The 25,724-nt window shown below is 43.4% G+C and overlaps 1 protein-coding gene and 1 pseudogene across 13 annotated transcripts in view, besides 2 other annotated features; one reads left to right on the top strand and one right to left on the bottom strand.

Moving 5' to 3' along the window:
* The window catches only part of CEACAM21 (CEA cell adhesion molecule 21), a 37,327-nt gene that overhangs the window by 7,757 nt on the left and 3,846 nt on the right, over positions 1-25,724 (bottom strand). For 5 of the 13 annotated variants that reach the window (NM_001290113.2, NM_001098506.4, XM_005278397.5 and 2 more), the window contains exons 1-2: positions 2,750-2,922; positions 1,529-1,888 (exon numbers count right to left, since the gene is read on the bottom strand). Coding sequence is in view for 9 of the 13 variants with exons in the window: in NM_001098506.4 (NP_001091976.3) it covers positions 1,529-1,888; positions 2,750-2,813 (424 nt within the window). In the remaining 4 variants the exon portion in view is untranslated. Of the gene's footprint in view, positions 1-15; positions 130-1,528; positions 1,889-2,749; positions 2,923-3,137; positions 3,866-14,031; positions 14,407-25,724 lie in introns of those variants that run through there. The other 8 variants (XM_017027430.2, XM_017027431.2, XM_017027432.3 and 5 more) reach the window with 5 other exon arrangements.
* Positions 8,962-9,256: a silencer, noted in NCBI's record as "tiled region #9748; HepG2 Repressive non-DNase unmatched - State 22:ReprW". NCBI's record gives its function as "represses a minimal TATA promoter and a strong SV40 promoter by Sharpr-MPRA in HepG2 cells {active_cell/tissue: HepG2}" and the evidence as "EXISTENCE:reporter gene assay evidence [ECO:0000049][PMID:27701403]".
* LOC110467527 (RNA, 28S ribosomal pseudogene) lies at positions 13,636-15,474 on the top strand (annotated as a pseudogene).
* Positions 15,375-15,669: an enhancer, noted in NCBI's record as "tiled region #9744; HepG2 Activating non-DNase unmatched - State 22:ReprW, and K562 Activating DNase unmatched - State 22:ReprW". NCBI's record gives its function as "activates a minimal TATA promoter and a strong SV40 promoter by Sharpr-MPRA in HepG2 cells, with weaker activation in K562 cells {active_cell/tissue: HepG2 | K562}" and the evidence as "EXISTENCE:reporter gene assay evidence [ECO:0000049][PMID:27701403]".

The raw sequence follows: 25,724 nt of genomic DNA, 5'->3' as shown, positions 1-25,724 counted from the left end.
CATGAGATGCAATACCTGGGGTGGCTTTAGGAGCAGGCAGTCAGAGAAATGGAACATGGGTCTCAGCCCCTAAGGGACAAGGAAGAGGTGTGGCCAGCTCCTCCTAGGATCCTACATCCAGGACCCAGTCTGTAAAGAGGTTATGATTATTCCTTTCTTTTTTCATTAATTCCCTCCCTCCTTCATCAGAGAACTACTGAGTGTGTGTCTCAGTTGGGCCTTGTGCAGGTACAGGGTGTAGTGGGAAGAGAAAGCTGAGTCCTTTCCTTCATCCTCCCATGGGAGTGACATCAACAAATCAAGAAATTCATGATTTCACGTCCAGTGAGGGAAGGAATGTGGATCTGATGGGAGAGGCTTGGACAATCCTGGCATTGAGTCTGATAGTTGAGACAGGTGATTTCGTTCTAAGTAAAAACTGACTAATTCTCCATTTGCCCGTCATTCCTCAGACCAGAATCTCCCTCTCTGAGCTGAGGATGCCCAAGAAGAAAGGAGCTGAACCAACATCTGGTCCTGGGGTCCACAGATGCCCCACGGTGGTGGCCACGACCAGATTCTGGGCTGCAGACACACGGTGGTGTGACGTTGAGCACTGACAGCCTGTGTGATGCTGATGCAATTTCTCTTTAATAAAATGGGGTACATGTCAATGGTCCCTGGCTTGCCATCCTCTCTGTAAATTAACATTAAAATATTTACAATTACCTGACCTAAAGCTTGGCACAGAATAGCTCCAAATAAACATCATCTATTATTATTTTACTCCAAAAAAAAAAAAAAAGAGTTCTCTGGGCCTGATTCCTGGTGGAGAAGGAGCGGTCCAGAGTGTCTTTTCTCTGCTTTCCCTCCTCCTGAGGACAGTGCACTTCCCGGGACATCTTTTAAGTTTCCCATCCAGTTTAATGGCCTGGGAAGTTTGTTTGTCTGTCCTCTCCACTCTGACTCTCAGGTGAAAGATGAGGCTCTGCCCTTGCCCAGATGGGGCTCTGGGGGCTGAGCCCTGCCTGGTGACCAGCTCTAGGAACCACGGCCCTGGGACAGCTGGTAAATCCTTGCTCACAATCAGCCCTGCCCAGGAAGCCACAACCCAGCCCTGGCACAGGCTCCCCAGGGTCATCTGGAGTCAGGATCTTGGGACAGGGGCCTGGGGCAGGGGCTTCAAGGGCTGAGCTTCTCTCAGAGGATCCTCAGGCCAGGCCCTGACTGAGTCCTATAAGATCTTTCTCAGGTCATGTCTATGAGGAGGAGGCCAAGGGGGGTTGGACTGAGACTGATTTTCCCCCGCTGCATCTCCCGCATCAGACTATCCTTCTTGCTGTAGGGAATTTCCACGGAGTCCGGATAAGGGAAAGGAATTCTGATCTGTTATAGTTTGTCTCCCCTGGGTGTGTCCTGCACTAAATGCCCAAACCCCAACATGGGACGTAATGCAGAGGGGGATGCAGGCACAGCCCAGGCCTGACAATCCTGCGTATGTGAAGCAGAACTGACCCCCAACACCCAGAGGCACGGAGGAATCACTCACCGTATACACGGAGATGGTGAGATGCCTGTTCAATCTGAGAATTTCTGTATGTGACTTGTAGGTTGTAGTATCCCGTGTCCTCTAGGGTGACGTTCTGGAAATGCAGATCTCCACTGGGTGATATTGTCTCTCGACCGCTGTATGCAGGCCCTGGAGTCCTAACGTGAGTGTCTATTACATATGCTGCGATTAGCTGGTTGGGCTCCACCGTTTTCCCTTTGTACCAGCCATAGCTGTAAAGATTCTCGGGCAGATAAACCACAGAGAGATGAACATTCTCCCCTTCAGCAACTTCAAAGGGCGCTGATGCAATAAAGAGCCAGGCAGTGGTGGGTGCGTTCCAGAAAGTTAAAAGTGAGGCTAGGAAAGGGAGAGAATATCAGTCAATATTTGACCTATGCATTGGCATGGAAAGACGGGGTCCTGGGTGCAGGTCTCTTCACCCCTCAGCCTTAGAGGGTGTGTGTGTGTGTGTGTGTCCTACTGGGTCAAAGTCAGCAGCATGACCCTCATTCCTTCAGTACCTCTGACCTTGGCATTTCCTTGTGTGAACCCTCTTTCCCAGGGGTCTGCATGGTTCCCTCCCCACTGCCTTCAGTTCCTACTCACACAAGGGAATCCCTGGGAGACTTCTTTCGTGAAGCCTCCTCTAGAGACCCTGGGTCTTCCCTTTCTGACCTTTCCCAGCTCTGTTCCCTCCAGGGCTCTTGTCAGCACCTGACCTCACATTCTAGATCTCTTTGGGTGTCTGTCTTCCCCCCCATGAGATTGTGAGCTCTGTGAGGGCATGGACTTGAGTGATGTTAGTTGCACCCCAGTGCCTGGGACAGGCTGCAGACTCCTGTGGATGAGTTCATGAGCGTTCCCAGGGCCTTCCATATCCTGGGGTTTATTTGCTAATGTCTGAGGTTGGCAGATGAAGACAGAGTTTCATGCCCTGGTGGTGTTTTTATTTAAATTGTCACTGTGATATAGTTTTACTATCATTTTCAAAGTGTAGTGGCCACTGACAATGAACTTGAAAACATGGACCAACTGAGATTGTTTTGCCCCTTGGCAATTCCAGTTCACTTAGATTTTTTGGTTCTCCTTAGACGCTCTCTCCCCTGAGTCTCTAACAAAAGCCCTCTGTCTCCTCTCAGAGCCCCATCCTCCCCAGGAGACCCCAGCCAGTCTCTGTGCTCCCTCCTCCCACCCACTCCCAGGGAGTCCTCCCCTCACCTGTGAGCAAGAGCCCCTGCCAGGGGATGCATTCTCTGTGGGGACAAGCTGAGGGGGGCCCCATGGTCTCTGCTGCCTGCTCTGTCCTCCTCTGTGGAGAGGAGCTTGGGCTCCAGGAACGCTCTAGACAGGGTTACTGTGACTGTTGTCTCTGCTGTCCTTCCTTCCTCTATGCTGAGCTTCCTCTCAGGCAGGAGCACTTCCCGTTTATGGGCAAGGGCGGGGCTCTGCCTACAATGTCTCTCTGTCCCCTCCCCTCTCAGTCCTGCCTCCCTTGTCCCTCCTTTCTCCTTCCTTTTTGCCTATATTTGGTTCCCTAGGCAAAACTTTGAGAAGCAACGCTGATGGGGTCCTCATAACAGGACGACCCACTCTCCCCAGTACTGACCTCTGCTGTGTTCTGGCCTTGGTTCTGTCACAGCCGGTAGATTATTTCCCTTTGTGACACACAAAACCAGCTGGGCCCTGGGTCTCCTCATGCTCTCCAGTGCTCCAGGAAGGCAGAATGATGCCCAGCAGGAAAGTGACAGAGGTGGCTCTGGGGGCTAGAAAGGGGCTCACTGGGTGATGGCTGGGAAGGACCCACCCGCTATCTTCAGTGTCACCAGCCTGGCCTCTGACCCAGGGACAGAGACCCAGGCCTGGAGGTCTCGGGAGGATCCCCAGCTCCTAGGTGTGGAGGGAGGTGTCCTGTGTGTCCTGGGAAGAGAGGACTTTGATGGAAGGAGGTGGGAGGCTCTGGGTTCTGCTGTCCTTGGTGAAGGTTTCAGGGGGACCCTCTCCGTGTCTGGGGTCTGTGCCCCCAGCTTAACTCTCATTCTCTTTGCAAATACATATATTTTGTGGATCTGCAGTTGCCTGAACTGTCTCATGTCCCTAAATCTTTGTATCCCTTTTTACAGAAGGTCAGGAAGGGTGTGTACATGAGTATGAGGACTATCTGATCAGGGCGAGTGTTTGTTTCCCAAAGATCTCTTTAGATATGGTATAATACATAAGATAAATGTACTGAATTAGCAATTTTAAGTGTAGAATTAAATGATACTAATTCTATTCACAATGTTGTACAACCATCACCATAATTTTTTACCAGAAAATCTTCATTATACCAAATGGAAACTTCATACTTTTAATCAATAACTCCCCACTTCCCCCTGCCCCACCCACTGGTAGCCTCTGATACTATCAATCTCTGTGAATTTGCCTAGTTTACATGTCTCATATAATAAGGAATTATATACGTGTATTATTTTTTTCTGGATTATTTCTCTTAGGGTAACACTTTTAAGATTCATCCACGTCGTAGCATATATTACAGCTTCTTTCCTATTTATGGCTGAGTAATATCCCAATATATGTTTATACCTCAATTTTAATTCATTCATCTCTTAATGGACATGTGGGTGGTTTCCACATTTTTGCTATTGTGAAAACCGCTGCAATGAACTTACACTTGGAAGTATCTGTTTGGGTTTCTGTGTTCATTTCTTTGGGGGTACATATAGGAGTATAAATATGGGGTCATGTGGTAGTTCTATGTTTAAGTTTTTGAGAAACAGCCAAACTGTTTTCCAGTTTGCTGTGCTATTTTATATTCCCATCAGCAATATACGAGGGTTCCATTTTCTCTACATTCTTGTAAACACTTACTATTTAATATTTTTTAAAACTTATAGCCATTCTAGTAGGTGTGAAGTGATAGCTCATTGCAGTTTTGATTTTCATTTCCCTGGTGGCTGATGAAGTTGAGCATTTTTTCATGTATTTGCTGACAATTTTAATATTTTTTAGAGAACTATTTATTCAAATCATTTGCTGTTTAAAAAAAATGGGTTATCTTTTTATTATTCAGTTGTAATAGTTCTTTATATATTTTAGATACAAGTCCCTTATGGGGTACATGATTTGCAAAATTTTTCTCATATTCTGTGTCTTCTCACTTTCTTCATGGTGTTCTTTGAAGCACAAACATTTTTAACTTTGATGAAGTTCACTTATCTATTTTTAATTTTGTTACTTATGCTCTTGATGTCATATTGAAGAAACCATTGCCCAATCCAAGATCATTAAGTTTTACTCCTATATGTTCTTCTAATGGTTTGATAAGTTTTGCTATTCCATTTAGGTTTTTGAAACATTTTGAGTTAACTTTTGTATGGGCTGTGAGGTAGGGGTCTAACTACACTATCTCGCATGTGGTTATCCAGTTGTTCCAGCACAATATGAAGAGGCTACCATTCTTTCCCCATTGAGGAATCTTGGCACCCATGTCAAAAACCAATGGGCTGTAATGGTGAGGGTTTATTTCTGGACTCTTGATTCTATTCCATTGATCTCTATGTGCATTCTTGTGCCAGAAGCACACTGTTTTAATGATTGTAGTGTTTTAGTAAGTTTTCAAATTAGGAAGTGAGTCCTCCAATTTTTTTTTCCAGATTGTTTTGGCCATTCTGGGGTGACTTTTAAAAAAGATGTAGTTCAATGGTTCTCAAAGCAGGAGTGGTTCAGCTCTCCTTTTTTGGCAGTCTGGAGACCTTTTTAGGACCTTAATCTAAGTAGATAAATTATTCCCACTTTCTTTTCTGAGTTGCTATGTTACAGTGTATATTGACACCCATGAAATAATTGAGAGACCCTGGAAGTGCTTGCCTACATAGTGAGGGACAATTAGTTCCATGATCATGGGCACAGAAGATTTTGTTTTGGGAAACAATTTTGTTGGTGGAGTTATATTCATGCTTACTCTTTTATTTGTCTTCATAGCCTGCATCTCCTTCAGACTTCATATCTGTTTATTTTCTTGTTTGTCCTCTGGGGTTTGGGTGTTGGGTGACCAGTCAGCTGGAGCTGGAGGAGGTGCTTAGCAAGGCAGTGACCCTGGTTGGGAGGAGCAGGGCTCAGCAGGGTGAAAGTAGCTGGGCCTTGAGTCAGGAGTGGCATCTGGAAGGCCTGACTGTAAGGGTCAGAAGGGCCAGCAGGTGGGTGTCCTAGGCACAAACGGTGGCTGCTGCTGTGGACTGGAGGAAGGTAAGAGGCCCCGAGTATTCCATGTTCTTACTGGCTCCCCAACTGAGGATTCCTCTCCTGGGCTGGTGCTGTCCTGCAGCAGGGAGGGGTTAGACAGGGACGGCTGCACATCAGGCCGGAGTCCATGTCATCCTCTTAGGCACTGTCACTACAGATTGAGGATTCTGTTCATAAGCCAAGCCTTTGCACAAGGAAGGGACCCGGGCTCTCAAGGAAGAGCAGCTCCTGGTCAGACCTCCATCTCCTTCTCTCTCATTGCCTGAGGCCTCAAGCTTGGTCTACCTGGCACAGGGGTCTGGATCCTCCTCCCAGGGTTGGGGTCTTACTGAGCTGGGCACCTGCAGGTGGGAGAAGATCTGGAGGGGCCCCATCTGCCTTCACCAGATTGATGTTGAGGGTCCCTGAGTCCTGCACCACTATCAGGTGCTGAGCAACTTCCAGTGTCAGTGACAACCACCCCATGGTGGAAGCAGAACCACCTCGTGAGAAAGCACCTCCAAGCCTCAGTGCTTGCCATGTGTGGGAATTTGCTGGTTTCAGTTGGGGGCATGTTGGTGGGTGGTCATGAATTCAGGGCCGGATTCTATGCTCACAGTGCACATGCTGGATGTGGTACAGACCCCAGGCAGGGCTCAGTGGGGTGGTTTTGGGTGTGCACAGGTATCTTTTCTGGAGGAGCTGGTGGTGATTTGGCTCCCAGAAGTTCCTGAGCTCTGCAGACTCACCAAGCACTCAATATTTGAGTGAACATTGGGCGAGAGAGCAGAAGGTAAGTGTCAGGGCATCGGGGTTGGTGCCTCTGGGAAGAGGAGGAACATTCTGGGAACAAAGCTCTCCCCCGGCTTACAGGGAGCTTCCCATCGCTCCTGCCTTGAGGATCAGGGAAACTAGGGCCTCTGCTCTTCCAGGGGCTGCTTGCAGGCAGTTTGCTCTGGGAGGGGGTGACCCAGGAGTTGCCTCTCATTTTGCATTTGAGATTTAAAAGGAGAAGGGACAGTATATCTTGCCAGGTCACAAAAATTACAGGCATCATATTGACTGAAGGGCACTCCTGTCATCATTGCAATATACCAGAATGGTCTTTTAAAAAAATAAGTGATTTAGGTTTACCAGCAACTGTAATGCTTGTTTTATTCTTCTAGTTCACCGTTAATGTCACTTTTGTAGTTTTAGCACTGGCAATGTTGATTTTATGTTGACTCTGATGATTTTAAGCTTTCATTTGTTCACATAGAGATCATCTTCTTTCTGAATATTAATGCATTTTTTCTCTATTTCTACTGGTTATTCCTGTACATAGAGTAGAGAATCACTTTTCCCAAGGAGGTGGAAAGCTTCTGACTACCAAAAAAAAAAAAAAGTGTCAAAATGCTTTAAAGTCAGTAACTTAAAGATCAAATCCAAGAGTGGGCAACAGATTCTGCCCAGGGTCTGAAAGGTGGAGAGGTGACTGGTGAGGATGTTTAAAAGACCTCTCCTCTCTACTCCCTAAATGGGGGCCATCCAGTGTTCTTGAGGTTCAGAGAAGGCCCAGGGCTGGGGCAGCAGGGCACTGTCAGCTCCCAGCTCCCAGGGGCCAGGAGTAAGACCCCAACACTGTCCAGACACTGATTGCATTCATTTTGGGGGAGAGTAGATTCTTATTTAAAGAATAATACAAAAGTCTACAAATTTGAACATAAACAGAAATTCCTTTGCTACAATTTTCCCCTTAATAAGACATTCCTTCCTAATGACATATGTGACTGCATTCATGGCTGAGATGTTTTCTAGGATGGTGAGAGCATCAGAGTGGACTATCTGGTGCCTTGGGGTCATGCATTTTCTTCTTTCAATGTCTACAGGATCCCCCATGTCCCACTTTGTAGTGTAACTCAGTGTGTGTCATTCTGGTTTTTGTTGTATAGATCCTTGGAAAGCCCATGTCATTCCTGCTGTGAGGTACAGGCAGCCAAATGGCATCATCTCTAAACATGCCTTCTCCTGGTACATCAAATTATGGAATAAATGAAAGCCATTTTGACAGATATTGAAGATATAAGTTTCTACTCTTCCCACACATGCGATTCTTCTCCCAAGTGAAGGATTTTACTGGTGAATTGTTATTAGAGATTAGTGTGGATCAGTGACTCTGCCAGGGGAAATTTTGCCCTCTAGGGGACATTTGGCAAAGTCTGGAAACATTGTTGGTTGTCAGAGCTGGGGGAGGGAGTCCTGCTGGCATTGAGTGGGTGGATGGTGCTGAACACCCTGCAGTTCACAGAGCCCCACCAGTTTGACCACCCAAATGTCAATGCTGAGGAGTGGAGAGCCCTGCTGTGCCCTCCCGCAGCTTCCCTGAAGCTTCCCCTCACCTGCTCCTCCCATGTCTCCCCACCACTTCCCCACTTCACCCGCCTCCTTACACCTCAGTCCCCTCCACCTGAACTCACCCCTTAGTCCAAGGCCAGCCCTGATCTCCGCTCTCCTGGTCTCCTTGCTCCTTAGCAGGAGGCGCCCACTAGATGGCGCCCTTGCCCTTACTGGAGCTCACCGTCTCCCTTTCCACCCTGAGACAAATGTGGCTGCTTTTACTGCCACAACCCCAGCCCTCCACGCTCTAGATTTGCTCAGGGAGCAGCTCCTGGACAGACCTCAGGGACCCCAGGGAGGAGCCTCACTCTGGAGATTTTGATGGCATGGTCTTTGAACTTCACTGTTACCCCCAGTCAGGATCCAGGATGTTGGGAGTGCATGATTCTGCCCGGTCCCACTTCAGCAGGACCCCACTGCTGAGTTGTCTGTGGGGACCCGGGCCTCTCATCTCCTTCTTGCATTGCAGGAGAGGGATCTTAGCACTGCTTTCACATAAAGTCAGATAATGGAGGAGTGCAGGTGAGTTTGGGAAGGTGGACATGAAGAGAGGTTGTGTCCCTAGAGGTGGCAGCAGTGAGAGGATGGGCAGGTGGGAGGAACACAGCCCATCCAGGGTTGCCAGCCATATTAGGAGCGACAGCCTTTCCTCTAAGCCTCCAGCCTTTTTCCTGAAACATTCCAGAACTTTCCACTTCAGCACTTCCCACTGAGGCTCCTCAGGTCTGTCCCTGAGCTCCCAGCTGAGCCTACCTACCCATCTGAAATCCTGAGTCCTGTGTCACCCTCGTTCCCCATTATTCTGTGCAGTTCTGTGGGACGCCCAGCTCTCCTGACACCCCCAGTCTTCAGAATGGCCATCAGCGCTGTCGCTGTGGCACCAGGGTGACTGCCGCCTGGAGGCTGAGTCCTGGCTTCCTGACAGCTGTGGGGCCCGCTCTAGGCTCCCTTGTCCTGATCATTCATCACCTCCAGGATGCACAGCAGCTGGGCCAGGGGGAGGAGCAGGGACAGGTGTCAGCCACCCTGTGTGTCTGCAAGTCAGGCTGGGGGTGTGGGAGGACGCCAGGAATGACTGAACTTTCTGATTTAGAGGGTGAGAGCTTGCACTGATGGAATTTGGGATTTAATAGGAAAAGCATAGCGTTTTCCTATTTTGTAGGCGGGGTGGCTGGAGTTTGGAATCATAGATTCCCCTGGGATGTCACTGTGGACCTCAGTCCCACCCGTTAGGGGCACAGATTTCAGAATCCACACCCTGGGGCAAAGCAGGCATGGGAGGCTCCATCAGCCTGGCCAGGGCTCTCTATTTGTGCAGCTGCTGCAAGGAGATGTGCACTCTGATGGGAACAGTGCTCCCTCCTCCTTGGGGGGCAGTATCTAGCTCCCTGCAGCCCCTCTCCCTGCAGGCCCTGCCCTCTCTGAACCTCACCTTCCCCAACCCGCCCCCCGCAATCCCATCTCAGCTGTAATCCCAACACTTTCTCATCCATTATGGGTGGACTGCTTGAGCCCAGGGGTTCAAGACTATGCTGGCTGGACAATATAGCGAGTTGTTGTCTCTACAAAAAGACAAAAATTAGCTGTGCATGGTGGCATACACCTGTAGTCCCAGTCACTCAGGAGGCTGAGGTGGGAGGATTGCTTGAGCTGGGGAGGCTGAGTTGGCAGTGAGTTGAGATTGTGCCACTGTATACTTCAGTGTAGGTAACAGAGCGAGACCCTGTCTCAAAAAATAAAAGTAAAAAAAAAAAAAGAAATATGGAATACATTATTGTTAACTCTAATCAACCATGCTATGCAATAGTCCACCAGTAATACCAGTAATAGCCAATAATGAATTATCTGAAAAAGAATACAATTTATTCTTAGCTATCTACTGCTAAAATTTTTAAGCTATCTTTTATGATAGCTGAAACAAAAGAAGTAAATTTAACCAAGGAAGTAAAAGACCTTTATAATGAAAACTGTAAAACATTGATGAAATAAATTGAAAAAGACACACGCACAAATAGAAGATATTCCATGTTCATGAATTGGAAGAACTGATATTGCTAAAATGTCCTTACCACCCAAAGTGGTCTACAGATTCAATGCAATTTCTGTCAAAACACCAATGATATTCTTCGAAGAAGTAGAAGATCCTAAAATTAGAAACCACAAAAATTCCTAAAACCTGCACAAAACACCCTGAGTTGCCAAAGCAATCTTAAACAAATAGAACAAAGCTAGTGGCATTACACTTCCTGACAATCAAAGCATACTGCAAAGCTATAGTAACCAAATCAGCATGGTCCTGGCATAAAAACAAGCACATAGATCAATGAAACAGAATAAAAATCCCAGAAATAAACCCATGCATCTCTAGCTAACTGATTTTCAGCCAAGGAGCCACATGCACACAATGGGGAAAGGACAGCCTCTTCAATAAGTGGTGCTGGGGAATTGGATATTCATATGCAGAAGAATGAACCTAGACCCTATCCCTCACCATGCACAAAAAATTAACTCAAAATGTATTAAATAAAGACTTAAATGTAAGAACTGAAACTATGAAACTACTAGAAGAAAATATAGGGGGAAAATCCATGACATTGGTCTAGGCAAAGAGTTTTTGGATAAAATCTCAACAGCATAAGCAACAAAACCAAATATAAACAAACGGGATTTCATCAAACTAAAAAGCTTTTATACAGCAAAGAAAAAAAAGGCCAGCAGAGCAAAGAGACAACCTACAAATGGGAGGAGAATATATTTGTAAATATATACATATATATTTGTAAATATATACATCTGATAAGAAGATAATATCCAAAATATATAAGAAAATTATGTTTCTGTATAGTTTTATCTGACTGGGATACAGAGGCCACATCCACAGTCCCATCCTCAAAGGCCACTTGTTCCCAAAATGTCAAGCACATCCCTCAATGATCCATCATCAACACCTATGTCTGTAGGATGAAGGGTGAATCATGAAGCACTAAAAAGGAAGAAGGAAGCCAATCCCAAAACAAAATGATGCAGGGTCTGGAAAGTCCAAAGCATTTTTTTTTTTTTTTTTACTGCATCTTCCTCCTTTCTTCTCCACATTCCCAATCCTCACTATTGATTAACAAAACAAAAAAAACTGGGACCCACCATCTTCCCTACTGTCAGGAGATCTAGCGAGATTGTTTGAGTCTTAGACCAAACTTTGCCATAAGCCAAATTTCTGGCTGACTTTACAATGATATGAGCTAGCACAGTCTCTTTTTCTGCCAGTCAACTTGTGCTCGGTTTTATTTGCAACCAAATAGAGGTGGTAACCAAATATAGGTGACCCTAAAATTAGTCATCAGGATGAAATCCTAAAATGTGCAACAAACTGGGTTGAATTCAGGATTAGTAGCAACATCTCTGTTGTGGGCTTGAAAAGGGGGCACCCTTTTATGCAGTAGCAAAATTGCTAAATTGTTGTTTGCTGAGTCTTTGGACTCTCATCCCGGATTTTCTATGACCATTCAAACAGGGCTGCAATGAACATCTATGGTTGTTTAGCTTGGCACACTTCTACATTTCTATATAGTAATATCTAGAAGTGCATTTGCTCAATCACAAGATATGCACATTTTATAATTGACTGCTATCGAACTACCTTAAATAGCCTTAATTTGTTCTCAACATTGTTTAACAGGGTCTGTTTAATGTCCTATGTCCAGCAAGGACAGTATCACTTTTCTTAATATTTTTCAAATTATTGGACCTTAACAAATACTTAATGTGCAATTAATTGATTCCTTTGTATTCCCATGCCTTCTTTTATATGTTTCCTTATAGTACACAAAACCACATTATTGTTTCTTTACTTGTGTCATTCCACCCTGGACCATTCCTATCTAAACCATAACATTATGAGAGAGAGAGAGAGAGAAAACAATATGAAAATATAAATTGATTAATCAAAAAAATTTAAATAGGACAAATCAGGAAGACACAAGAGAGATTTTAAAATTATTCAGAGAATACCACAATAGCTGTACCAATATATTTTAAAACTTAGATGAAACGGACAACTATCTCGATAAATGTAAATTACCAAAACTGACTCATGAAAAAATGGATATTATGAATAGAGCAATAATCAGTAAAGCAATTAAAAAGACAGTTGATAATTTTTATTTACTGACAACAATAACAAAATTTCAGGTCCTGATATTTTTATGGTGAATTTTAACAAATTTTCAAGCTCCTCCTCAACCAATTCTCAGAAGGTTTAAAACTTTAACAAGAAAACACTTTCTAACACATTTTCAGAAGCTGTTATAGCATGATACCAAAACCACACAAGAAAATTATAGACCAATCTCACTTACAAATATACATGCAAAATCAAACAAAATCTTAGTGAACCAAATTCAGAATTAATAATAGCAAACAAGCAAAATATGTTATCATACGTATGGCTTATATCAGGAATGCAAGTATGTTTCAACATCAGAAAATACTTCTCCACATTAACAGACTAAAGGAGAAAAACGCTTGTTTAATTATCTCAATAGGTTTTTAGAGAATTTTGAAAATTTTATAAAGTTATGCGTATTCTGTAAAATTGATGAAATCCAACCTTGATTTATTTTTAAAAATTGCCTTTCCTATAGAATTATAGGTAAAGGAAACACATGCATCCTCACAGAGCTACTTCAAGGCTAAGTTACTTCCCATAAGTAACGTATTCTGTAATGTGTGCTTGGCACATATTCAATACTAAACAAATATTTGCAAATCCTCAAACCACTTCTCGCTCAAATAACCCACCTTTGTCTTTTGCCTTTATGTTAGGGTTGATTTTCTCAATTGTATCTTGGAGATCCTTTGGTGGGTCTTTCAGCAATTACCCTGAATTTGCTTTTCTGTTTACAATTTTAATTCCTGGGAACTCTTTCTTGTTCTCTGACTGCACCCTTTTCATGAGAGTTCAGCCATCAATCCTCCAGAACCCCACCCCCCCCGCCCCCCCAAAAAGCAATAAAGATGTCTAAAAGCTTCTTTCTGGGCTTTCGAATGATGTTTACCCCAGGCATTTGTTCTATTCGTTCATCACCCATTTTCCCTACAACTTGCCTACACTTGATATCAGATTTTTATTTATTAGTCACCTATCTTCTTCATTGGCCCATTTTCCTATTTTGCCACTGGTTGTTCTCAAATGTGTTATGATTCCTGGTTGTACAGTCAAGTGGTTGATAATCTTGGATATACGATAAAGATTTGCTCTGTAGCTGTGTGTAAGCCTATATAAAAGCTTTTGTATTTTTCTTCTTAAAAAAGACAAAAGATGGTTGGGAAGATCCCTCCAGTTCACCAGTTCGAGGCTGCAGTGAGCTATGATAGCGCCGCTGCTCTAGCCTGTCTGTGAAAAACAAGGGGGGCGGGGGGCGGGGGGGAAGACTGGAGATGTAAATCTCCCGCAGGGCCCTACCCGTATCCGCAACAGGTCTCTAACAGGAACAGCCTCAGGCCTGTGTTGGAACAAGGTAGGTTACAGAAATCTGGAAGCCAGATCTGTAACTTCAGGGTAAGGACTGGCTCTCAGGGCTGATCCCCCGGGCTGGGTGTCCCAGAGGCACCCGCCCCCGCCCCTTCCCCAAGGCAGGCCAGGACACCTTCACTCCTCTCCTTAGGCTCCCCACCCCCTTCTCCTCCCCACTGTGCCTCCTGGAGTAGCGGTGGCGGTGCCACAGGGGAGCGGGGCGGGGCGGGCTCTGAGGGCAAGGGGGATGGGCCCCGCCGGGGTCACTGGCGGCCACCCTGGAAACTCGACGCAGGCCGGCCCTTCTAGTGAATCGTCCCAGCCACAGCTGGCCTCCCAGCCGCGCTTGGGGCGCCTCGGGGCGCGAATGGTGCAGGTTGGGGAGACTCACCACGCACCGTCGGGGGTCGGTCCGGTTATTCCTCACCGCTCGGCTCCAGTGGGCGCGCGGGCCTCTCCTCCTCAGTTCCTGCGCTGCAGTCCCTCCCTCACCCTTCGCAGCTTGGGAATCCGACTGTGTCATTCCGACGGAGCGCCGTGAGGACCTCCGAGGGTGTTAGCGCCAAGTGATCTCTGTCCAGCGCTCTGAATATCCAAGTAAAGGAGTTCAATGAAGGGCGGGTCAACGGAGGAGAAACCGTGACTCTCTCAAGGGAGCCCAAGGCCTCCTTGTCTAATTAGTGACGCGCCAATGGATGGAGGCTCTTCCCACCATCTCTTCCCAGCATCCAGTGACACCACCGCCAAGGGACGGGCTCGGCGGAACCTGCAGGAAAGAAGCATCGGCTGAGCCTGACTGCAGCGCTGTGAAGAGACAGGGGAGGGGATCAGTAGTTGGTCCCGCGCCCACCCCCTGTTTCCGCGAGGGGCGGAGTTGACTGGCCATGCAGGCAGAGGGCGAAATGTGAAATTCCACTACTCCTACCGTTTTTCCCTGACCCGATGGGGCGGAGTGTCGTCAGGCTAAGTTCCCTGGCGGTAAGGTGGGGAGATTGAGGCGCACACCTGCCGAACGGTAACGCAGGATTAGCTAAGGCGAGCTCAGGACAGAAGCCTCCCGAGGAGCAGGAGGGCAAAATAATAAATAAATAAATAAATAAATAAATAAATAAATAATAAATAACTCACTCCTTGGTCTTTATTTGCGGCAGGAATTCAGAAGGTGAAAGCGGGGCCTTAGGATCTTTCTGACCTTTTGGGTTTTAAGCAGGAGGTGTCAGAAATGTTACCACAGGGCTAGCTGGCTTGTGGCCAGCAAGCGTTCACAATGCCCTCGATTTTTCATCCCTGTCTGTGGGTTCTTTTTTTCATTGTAAGGCAGAATTTCTACGATTGCTCACCCACTCAGAGAACCTGAGCTGGTTTAGACCAGGTGAGACAGGCTAGGTTTACCCTGGTGATGATGTGTTGTTGCCATGGCGATCCTGCCCAGTACCAGAGGCCCTGCAGATTCAGATACTTGGTGCCTGTGCTTGGCTGAGGGGCCAATGGGTGAAGCTGCCATCTGCGGGATGATGACTGAAGCCTCTAAGTCAGAATCCGCCCAGGCTGAGCCTTAGGGCAGCTCCATGGAGCCTCGGCTGGCCTGGGATAGAGAGTCCACCACTGTGCCAGCCCCCAGCCACTGCCTAGGTCCTGTGCTGAGAGCCCCTTGTCCAGGGAAATGGCGTCCAGTGGAAAAGGGACCACCCCCTTGCCCTTCACTCAAGGCAGGTTGGTGACAACCCTGAAGCTAATCCGTTCCTAGAGGAGCTGCTTCTGGGTCCGAGTTTTCTCTGCAGCAGAGCAGCTCCCTGGATGGGATCTGTTCAAAGTCCGCCTTTCACGCGGAATTTTCCGTCCTTGCAATTTTCCACCTCCACCACTAGGGGATCCTCTCTGACCGCCTCATGCCGGCTCTGGCCTCTGAGCAGGGGTCTCTCTTCTGCATGTGCGACCTTGCGCATGCCTAGTGGCCTTTTGGGACCTAGAGCTGCTCCACACCCCGATGGGGTTACAGAGTGCCTCGCCTCCACTCCACCCCACCAGGGTTCCTTCCCTGGCTGGGATGGGATTTCAGAAGCGCCGAGGAACAGCCCAGACAGGTGTGGGAGAGTAGCCAAGGCCCCTGTCCCGGGGTGGCCAGGACAGCGGTGGCCTCGCATAGGACCTGGCTGGGCTGCTGCAATCAGTGTCCTGCCCCTTGGAGAGCAACAGTGAAAACAACAAGACTATCTTCACCCACCTTAAGAAAGAACAGAACCAGTATCCCCAACTCTGCTGTGTATCCCAACCCAATTCCATTCCCCACCCCACTCTCAGTAGCCAATATGCAAAATATTAGAATACTCTTACTGTTATTATTTTCAACCACACTCTGCATCCTGAAAAACCATATATTTCGTTATGTGCTTTTAAACTTCTTGAAAATGAAATACTGAGGCTGGGCGCAGTGGCTGACACCTGTAATCCCAGCACTTCGGGAGGCGGAGGCAGGCGGATCACGAGGTCAGGAGATCGAGACCATCCTGGCTAACACAGTGAAACCCCATCTCTACTAAAAATACAAAAAATTAGCCGGGCGTGGTGGCGGGCGCCTGTAGTCCCAGCTACTTGGGAGGCTGAGGCAGGAGAACGGCGTGAACCCGGGAGGTGGAGCTTGCACTGCGCCGAGATCGCGCCACTGCACTCCAGCCTGGGCGACAGCGCCAGACTCTGTCTCCAAAAAAAAAAAGAAAAAAGAAATACTGAATTTTCAAATACTTGCTTTTTTTTTCGGTCAAAATTATGTTCTCAAATTTCACTCCTGTAGATGTGCGTGGCTGGCTGTAGTTTTTGCATTTTTATTATTAGGTATTCTCCTGTTGCATTAATATGCCACATTTTATTTCTCTCATGTTTTTGGTGACCACTTGGGGTGTTTTTTGGTTTTGTATTTTTGCTGTATACATGCTGCCATGGTGGACATACCTCTTTATACATATTTCCTGTTGTATGCAGACACAATTTTAGGATGTGACATCTTCAGCTTTTCTATTGTGTCGTGTGTCTTTTCCTTCGTGCTTTGTGTTATTTACATATTCTGGACACAGATTCTTTGTCAACTGTATGTGCTGCACATCTCTTTCCCAGTTTGTGTCTTCTTCTTCTTTTTTTTTTCTTAAAAAAAACTTTCTTTATAGTGTTTTTTCTTTCTTTCTTTCTTTGTTTTGTTTTGTTTTTTTGAGATGGAGTCTTGCTCTGTCACCTAGGCTGAAGTGCACTGGCCGATCTCGGCTCACTGCAACCTCCGTCTCCTGGGTTCAAGTGATTCTCCTGCCTCAGCTTCCCAAGTAGCTGGGATTACAGGTGCCTGTCACCACACCCAGCTAATTTTTGTATTTTTAGTACAGATGGGGTTTCACCATGTTTGTCAGGCTGGTCTCGAACTCCTGACCTCAGGTGATCCACCCTCTTTGGCCTCCCAAAGTGTTGGGATTACAGGCGTGAGCCACAGCACCTGGCCTGTGTTCTTTCTTAAGTAGATGTTACTTTTAATATAATAGAATGTATCATATTTTGCTTTTATATTAGTACTTTTTCTATCTAATTCAAACACATCCCCAAGGGTCTTTGTGTGTAGACTGACCAATTTCTCAAGAATCATGAATGAATACTGCTTCTCTTTCCCCAATTTATCTGTAATGCTACCTTTATTATAAAGTTTCTATGCATGTGTAGAAATAGTTCCTGATTTTTCACTCTGTGCCACCAGCATACCAATAGCACGCTGTCTTAAATATTAAATAGCAGAGCTTTATGAGACAACTTGATGTGCAGTAGGCAATTGCCCCCTTGTTACTCTTCTTCAGGGTTCTTTGTTGTACCACATGAATTTTAGAATTGGCTTGTCCAGCTAAAAGACAACTGCAAGGATTTTATTTGGAAGTTCATAATTCTATACATAATTTGGGGAAAGTATTTTCATAATACCAAGTCTTCCTATTAATGAACACAGACTCTCTCTCTCTCTCCCCCACCCCCACCTGTTTAGTTATTTATATCTTTATGGTCTGTTAGTTATTGTTTATTGTCTTTCAACCAGGTTTCATGTTTTTCTACATAGAGGCCTTGCATGTGAAAGTCTTTCTTCCTAGCTTGCTATTACAAATTTTTTTTAATTGCACTTTTTGGGTACAGTGGCTTGTACTGTAATCCCCGATACCTGGGAGGCTGAGGCAGATGGATTGCTTGAGTCCAGAAGTTCAAGACCAGCCTGGGCAACATAATGAGGTCCCTGTCTCAAAAAGTTTGTTTTAAAAATTGCATTTGCTGTTATTCAACAAATGTCATTGTGTCTCATATATGGATTTTTATATCTGATAACCTTGTTCAACAATCTTTTGATTCTAACAATATATCAGATTCTTTTGAGTTTTCCATATAGACAATAATGTCATCTGTAAATTATAATTGTTTCTTCTTTGTTATTTCTTGGACCTTTTATTTTATATTTTTGTCTTGCTGCAAGGCAATATCCCTCTATATATTGTGGGGTCTTTTTTCTCATAAAGTGGGGATGGTGAACACCCTTGTCTTGCTCTCTGATTGTATAAAGCATGCTTTCTGTAGCATTTTGTAGACGCTCTTTTTTAGATTGAGGTAATTCACTTTTATTTCTGGTTTACTGAGTTTTTAGCATAAATTCAGGCTGAATTTGAGCTAAAGCTTTTTCTGGAGACATCATTTGAAAAATTCATATGATTTACTTTCTTTAAGTCACCAAAGTTATGAATTACATTGAACTGAGTTTCTACTGTTTAACTGTATTCTTGGGAGAAAACCCACTTGTCACTGAACAATATCTGTTTTATTTACTGCTGTCTTGTGTCTAAATTTTCTTTTAGGATTTTTTGTATATGCTCAGATTAGCCTGTTATTCTCCTTTCTGTATTTTTTTCTGGTTTGGGGGTCAAAGTTATAATAGCCTCACAATAAGAGCTAAGAAACCAGCCCTAATGGAGGCCGGGGCAGGAGGTTTGGAGTTCAAGACCAGTCTGGGCAAAATAGTGAGACCCCCATCTCTATGAAAAATAGAAATTAGCCAGGCATGGCAGTGAGTACCTGTAGTCCTAGGTACTTGGGAGGGTGAGGCAGGAGGATTGCTTGAGCCTAGGAATTTGAGGCTGCAGCGAACTATGATTGTGCCACTGTACTCCAGCCTGGATGACAGAGCGAGACCCTGTCTCAAAAGAAAAAAAAAGAAGAAATAAAAAGGAAAAGATAAAAGAGCTAAGCATCTGCTTCCTTTTTTCCATTTTCTGGGAGAGTATGTGTAAGACTGTAATTAACTGTTTCTTGAATAATGGGAGAACTCTGTAAAATAATCTGGCTTTGGTGTTACCTGTATTGGAAGGATGAAAAATACCAATTCAGTTTCATTATTGGTTGATAGGGCTACTCATGCTTTTTGTTTTGTTTTGTTTTGTTTTGTTTTTGAGAGGAAGTCTCTCTGTATTGCCCTGTTGTCCAGGCTGAGATGCAACGTTGTTCACAGGCCTGATCCTGGCTCACTACAGCCTCTAACTTCCGATCTCAATAGATCCTCCCGCCTCAGCCTTCCCAGTAGCTAGGACTACAAGCATGCAGCATCACATCCAGCCTCTTTTCCTGCCTGACCCAGTTCTGGTTTCCTTTAGTTTTCTAGGTGTTCATCCATTTTATCTAATGTTTAATGCATTTGGCATAAGGGTGCTCAGTGTCCTTTCATTGTCTGTTGTCTGTAACTGTTGCCATTTTCATTCCTATTTATGAGTACTGGCGTCTTCTCTCACTTTTTCTTAATAATCCTGCTGGAACTTTGCTTTTTAAAGAACATCTTTTGACTTGTTGATTCTTTTTTCATACATATTAACTATTTTCTTATTTTTTGCCTTTATATTTATTTCTTTTCCTGTTTGAAACATTGCTCTTTTCTTACTATAAAAATGGGTAAGTAGCTCATGAATTACCACCTCTTTTAAAAATCTTTTCTACTGTAAGCATTTTAGCAGTTTACATTTGCCCACAAGTACCACTTCAGCTACACCCTATGTGCTTTTACATAAAGTCTTCATTTTTGGTAAGACATATTCTCAAATTTTAATTATCACTTGTTTTTAAATCCATGATGTTTTATTTGAAATGTTGTTTCTAAAGATACATTTTCTGGTTATACTTTTATTCTTCTAATTTAGCACAGTGGCCACAAAACATGGTCTGTGCAGTGCATACAATCGATGAGTAATTTCTGAGCTGTAGTATTTGGCATAATATATGGCAAAATTTCCTAAGTTTTCCATGTGTGCTTTAAAAAACTTCCAGTAAAATACATAAATCTGTTAGATCAAGCTTCTCACATTGTTCAAATAGTCTATATGTTTACTGATTCATTTGACTGCTTGATTTATCAATTACAGGTAGGAATGTATTCAAATCTCCTATTAAAGTGTGACACTCAAGTGGCTTTTTAAAGACAGAGATGCCAAACCAATGAATACATGATTTTCCCCAAAGCCTGCACAAATTCTCTAATGAAATTTTACCATGAAAGTTTGTTTAATTAAGGCTTACTAAAGCAGTATGTTGTCTTTTACTTTTTAAACAGAGAATATATATTTTAATACATCGTTTAAGTTTATGATTAATTATCTATTACTGAGGATAAGAATCTTTGCCTGTGCTCATTCAGCATTTGCACTTCATTTATGATCTGCCTTCTCATAGCTTCTGTTAATTTTTATACTAGAGACATTTATTTGTTTGTATAAATGTTGAAGGTTTTTTTTTGTTGTTGTTGTTTTTGAGTCAGAGCCTCGCTCTGTCACCCAGGCTGGAGTGCAGTGGCATGATCTCGGCTCACTGCAGCCTCCATCTCCTGGGTTAAAGTGATTCTCCTGCCTCAGCCTCCAGAGTAGCTGGGACTACAGGCATGTGCCACCAAGCAAGGCTAATATTTTGTATTTTTAGTAGAGATGGGGTTTCGTCCTGTTAGCCAGGGTGGTCTCGATCTCCTGACCTCATGATCTACCTGCCTCGGCCTCCCAAAGTGCTAGGATTACAGGTGTGAGCCACCGTGCCCAGCTGGGTTTTTTATATTATAAGGAGATGTAATAGATAGATAGATGTTTCAAAGATAGTCAAATGTTTTTAAAATTTAAAACACTTTTTTACAGGTTGACTTTCACCATTTAATTTCATCTATGTGTTTTGCCTTAGAGAAATTTTAAATGCTATGTAGATCTCATGACTTATAATTATGAAGCATTTTGTTTTCTGTTTTCCACGAAACTTAGCTTAACTTTGAGCATATAATAGTTGTAAAGGTAGGAGAGTAACACTGAAAAAAGGAATTGCATTAAAATGGCACATTTTCTGTAGAGTTGTTTATCGCCTGAAAATAGGCCCCATTTCATGGAAGTAAGATGATCAGGCTCAGGTCCCCAGACGAAACTCTTGGCATGGTTTTTGGAGATAGTCCAGGGCTCAGTACTGGCTCTATCATTTGCTACTTCTCCCAAAGTAACCAATATCTCATCCACCCTGAGCCCATTTCCATATCTCTAACATGAGGATAATAGCATCTACCTTACACACCAAGTAGAGGGATCAAATGTAGGAACTAAATCAAAGTACCAGCACTGAATAACCTACATCCTCCCACTTCCCAAAAGGAAGAGAGATGTATCCCCTGTTGACAAACGAGACCATTTTGCAGGAGAGAAAGGAAATGCCAGTTCACTTGCAATGTAAACATGCTCTCTCTTTTTAGGGATGTCCAGGGACCTGAGAGAGAACCCATGCTTACCAAAGAGTTTCTAGTTCCAGACACACAGGACTAGAAGGGTGACAAGTATGGTTTTCAGGGTCCCTGAATCCACCCAGTCCTCACAGAAACTCCTAAAAGCTGTCGATTGACAGCGTTGAGTTCACAGCTCTGGTCCTCACATGCTGATACTGCTTGTGATATCGAACCCGACAGGACCCCACATCACAATTGATTTACCAACTACAATATAATACCTCCTGAATCTCCAAATTGGCTCACCCAGGAACAAAGGCTTGGGGTAAAACTGGATTAGGAGATATAAGCTCTGAATTTTCTGAGGGTGAGACACACAAGGATTCTAAGTGACACGCCACAGAGTAACGGGTCTGTGACTGGAGGACCCACAGATTTGTCTTACTGGAGACACCACATGCACACAAACTCCATCCTTAGCTGTGGAAACAAGGGTCTTTTGCTATCTTAGCCGAATTCTGGGAGTAATTTTTGGAGGGGAGGAGATCTTTGGGATTGCCTCTTTCAGGCCCTTTACAAAAATACCTACTTCTTAAATGGTAAAGCTTACACTAAACTGAAAAAATTACATCCTTGGCTTTTTATGAAGTAGGTGTTGGATTGAATCACTACTGGAAGAAGTATGGCATCGCAAATTCTAAGCAGTGGTCAAAGGATGGATCTGTTAAATTAGAAAAATCTCTAAATTTATAAAAAGATTTTAGATTCCTTTATTCTAAACAATTGACCTATTTGTACTCATGGGACAATCAAATTTCAAAGGAGATATGTAACGATTTCATGGCTTGCATTAAAAATCCTTCTGATAAAATTAAAGATAAAAAATCTGACCCCCTGCCAAAAAAATCTTTTGAAGTTCATACTGCCTGCTTTCAATATTCTGTGGGATTCACAATGAAAGGTGCCTTATATTGTGGCCTAGCTTCAAGTTTATGCCTTCGCCACCATGGCCTGGGTTCAATTCCCAGTCAGGGCCCCAGCGCCTTTGGTTTAATGTTTGCGTGGCATTTGACTTTTTTACCTATTTAGTATTGGTGAGATTACCTTTGGTAAAAAAAAGTTTAAAGAGTGGAAATCGCAATTCTTTGTGTTGGCTAAAATCTGATTATAAGAGATCTGGAAGGTTTTATTTTTCTTTTTCAAAGAGCTCTATGGTCAGAAGTCGGCTTCATGAAAAGCTAATATTTAATTATATGTACATACAGTCTTTCTGGATTTTCTCTTTTGCCTCCTGTTTTGAAAAATATTTGGATTTGAGTGAAACTCCGTTTTAGAAATTAATTGCTTGGTACAATATACCCATGTAACTACCCTGCACATGTACCCCCTGAATCTATAATAAGAGTTGAAATTTTGACAAAATAAAATTAGATTTTGAATTAAAACAAATAGGTGCTTGGTTCCTCTGCTCACTTCTTTTTAAAAGGAATTCCTCTCCCATGTACTTCTTCTTTTCCCTTCTTTACCTTCCTTTTGGCATCTTTGGTATCACATGAAGGGATCTAGAGGGAATTTTAAGTGACTCTGAAATTCCTTGAGAAATACACAAAAAGATCCCACTCACCCCTTTTGGGGGTCTCCTGTTCTCCTTGTGGAGTCCAGAGTCAGGGACAGGCTCCTCCAGGTCTGCAGCTCTGCTCTCTTTTATTTCATCTTGGCTGATTGCTTTGGTTTTGTGAGTACCAGGCATTACTTTGTACTGTGAGAGACACGTCCTTTGTGAGTGCAACGGCTGCTGGGTCACTGGTGAGGGCTGCAGTTTGGAGATGGCTGAGAGCCGTTGCAATAAATGGTTGTGATTGCAGGGGGCTCCTTGTTTCTTTGCAAGTTTAGATGAGAAAGGTGCAGTTTGGACACAGTTTAAAGGCTGTGAAAACACCACCAATGAATATGATTTCCTTTGGGGATGGTCTGATTAAAAGTGGGCTGATTGTTGCTGTGCTACTAGCCTTGAAGACATGTTTCTACAGCATTGTGCAGTGTGGAAAAATTGTGTGGCTTGGTCTTGTGGCATGTCCCTTCTTTTAGAGACCTCAGATTCAATGTGAAATTCGGGATTTTTGATTTTCAAAGATCTAGATGCCCTGCCTTCCAGATGTGCCTACTCTTCACATATTTTAAAATTAGATCCTATAAACTGCAAATACTTTGTTGGCTTCTGTGAGATCAGAGGTCCAGTTAGAAAAGGAAGACAGTTTGTTAAAATTAAAAACTATTTATCTAATCTAACTAGATTGGCCTCCAAATATGACTTTCTGACATTCAGCTGGTTACTCTGAAAAGATTTCTAAATCTCTTGAGGCTCATCTATATGTTTCCTTGCAAAGAAAAAAAAAAAAAAAAAAAAGCAAGCCCAAGCACTAGTAAGAAAAAGATTTGCAATGTTTCATGAAAGGAGTAGATGAGTGAAGCATTTATTTGTAGATACTGGGTTGGATACCTGTGCAAAGAAGAAGAGGTCAATAATAAAAATTGCCAGGGGATTTCTTGGAACTTAACAAGCTGAATTAAATATAGAAATGTCAGGAAATCAAGGCAGGAAATACTCACTTGTGGTTAGGCAGACAGGGCAGGGTTCTGAGCTTGAGATGGAGCAAACAGTTGTGGTGGGTGAAGTTCACATGCTTTAGAGCTCAGCTGTCCTAGTAAAGAAGCCTAAGAGTCTCTAAAGCTCTTATGAGAAGATGGATTTTTTTTGCCTAGATTAAAAGGTTAAAGAATTGCTTTAAGTTGGATAAAATAAAGCTAAATGTTTAAGCAAGTTGTGAAAGGTTTATGAAAAAATTAATTAAAATATTTTTGTGTGTAAACATATTGACTAAAGTTGAAGGGGTATAATTCAGCATTTCTGTAAATTGAGCATTGAAATAAAAACACAATGGGTTTCTCTTAGAGCACTAACCTGCTCTTTAACAAAAATTGTAAAGGGTTATAGAAAGTCTATAAAAATGTTACCTTATGGTCAAACATTAAAATTGGGTAAATATGTCTATCAGGTTTTATTAAGAATTAGGTTTAACATTAATAGTACACTAATGTAAAGGTGAAATTTGGCTTATTTGGTACAAAAATCATACAGGAAGCATTGTGAAATATAAAATGATTTTTAGCTTTCTTTGGGCTATATTTCTATAAATATGTTATTGATGAGGGTTCCAAAGTTATGGGAGACTCCTATAATTCTGCTATATCTCAGTGTACATTATCAGTCATAATTATAATTGTCATGTTAAATTATTGTGGGCCACAGAGGTAACAGATTTCCTTGTCAATTGTGTCTTTGACTATGACTACCCTAAAACGTTCAGTCACCCATATACACATGTTACCTTGTTTTGGCCCTCTTTAGAAGGTAATTTTATAATCAGCTATAAAGCCCTAACAGGTGCTCTTAAATGCAAATTTTGATAACTTTGGAGATTGTGACATCAGAAGAGAGGAAAAATGTTCGGGACACTTGGAGAGCTAAAATGTTCATTGATATCAAGCAGGACAGGAATTAACTGCATGAAGTGAACTAATAGGAGGCTGAAGTGATCTTTTTGACTTTTTGCTTAAAACGTTGCTGATCCTTTGTTTTGCTTTTCAGAGTCAAGGCAAATTTTCTTTTGAGCTATTGACAGCTTTTAACGATTAATCAAAATATACTCCTATGAACACCATTTGGAGCATTATTTGTTTCTCTCTACCCGATTTCCCCAGAATTTGGAAACTATTTGTGGGTATTCTTAATTTATGGCAATATAGTTATTTGCATAAGTGCAATAAGAATGTGTTTTCTTTGGTAACAGGACACAATTTGAAAAACTGGTTATTTTACCAAGGTTTTGACCAGAATGCTGTGCTTTCCTTTAAGGAATCAAACTTGACTTGTGGAGCTAATAAAGCCTTTGGAAAACTGACCTTATATCCTGTGAACACAGTCCCTGTACAGGGTTACTGATCTGTGGGAAGAAAAGAATGTCACATTCTGACAGGTCAGGAATCCCAAGTTATCTTGAAACTTCAAGAGGACAGGAATTCACCCAACCATATGTATTTGATGGTAGAAATCCATGGCAGGGGCTCAGCTTTAAAAAGTCTTATCTCAGATTCCTTCTATAAAACAAAGTCCCATTAAAACCAATTTTAAAAGCCTATGTGAAAAATAATTATTCTTGCTGCACCTCGTACAAATAAAGTGGCAAAGCATAATAAAGCAAATTGGTCCTGTCGTAATTTGTCTTTAGTAAAAACGGGAAACTGGGGTCGGGTGCAGTGGCTCACTCCTGTAATCCCAGCACTTT

The sequence above is a fragment of the Homo sapiens genome, chromosome 19, assembly GCF_000001405.40.
Source record: "Homo sapiens chromosome 19, GRCh38.p14 Primary Assembly".
Taxonomy (NCBI): Eukaryota; Metazoa; Chordata; class Mammalia; order Primates; family Hominidae; genus Homo; species Homo sapiens.
The sequence above is the reverse complement of the archived record's forward strand: the minus strand, read 5'-3'. Positions and strand labels throughout refer to the sequence as shown.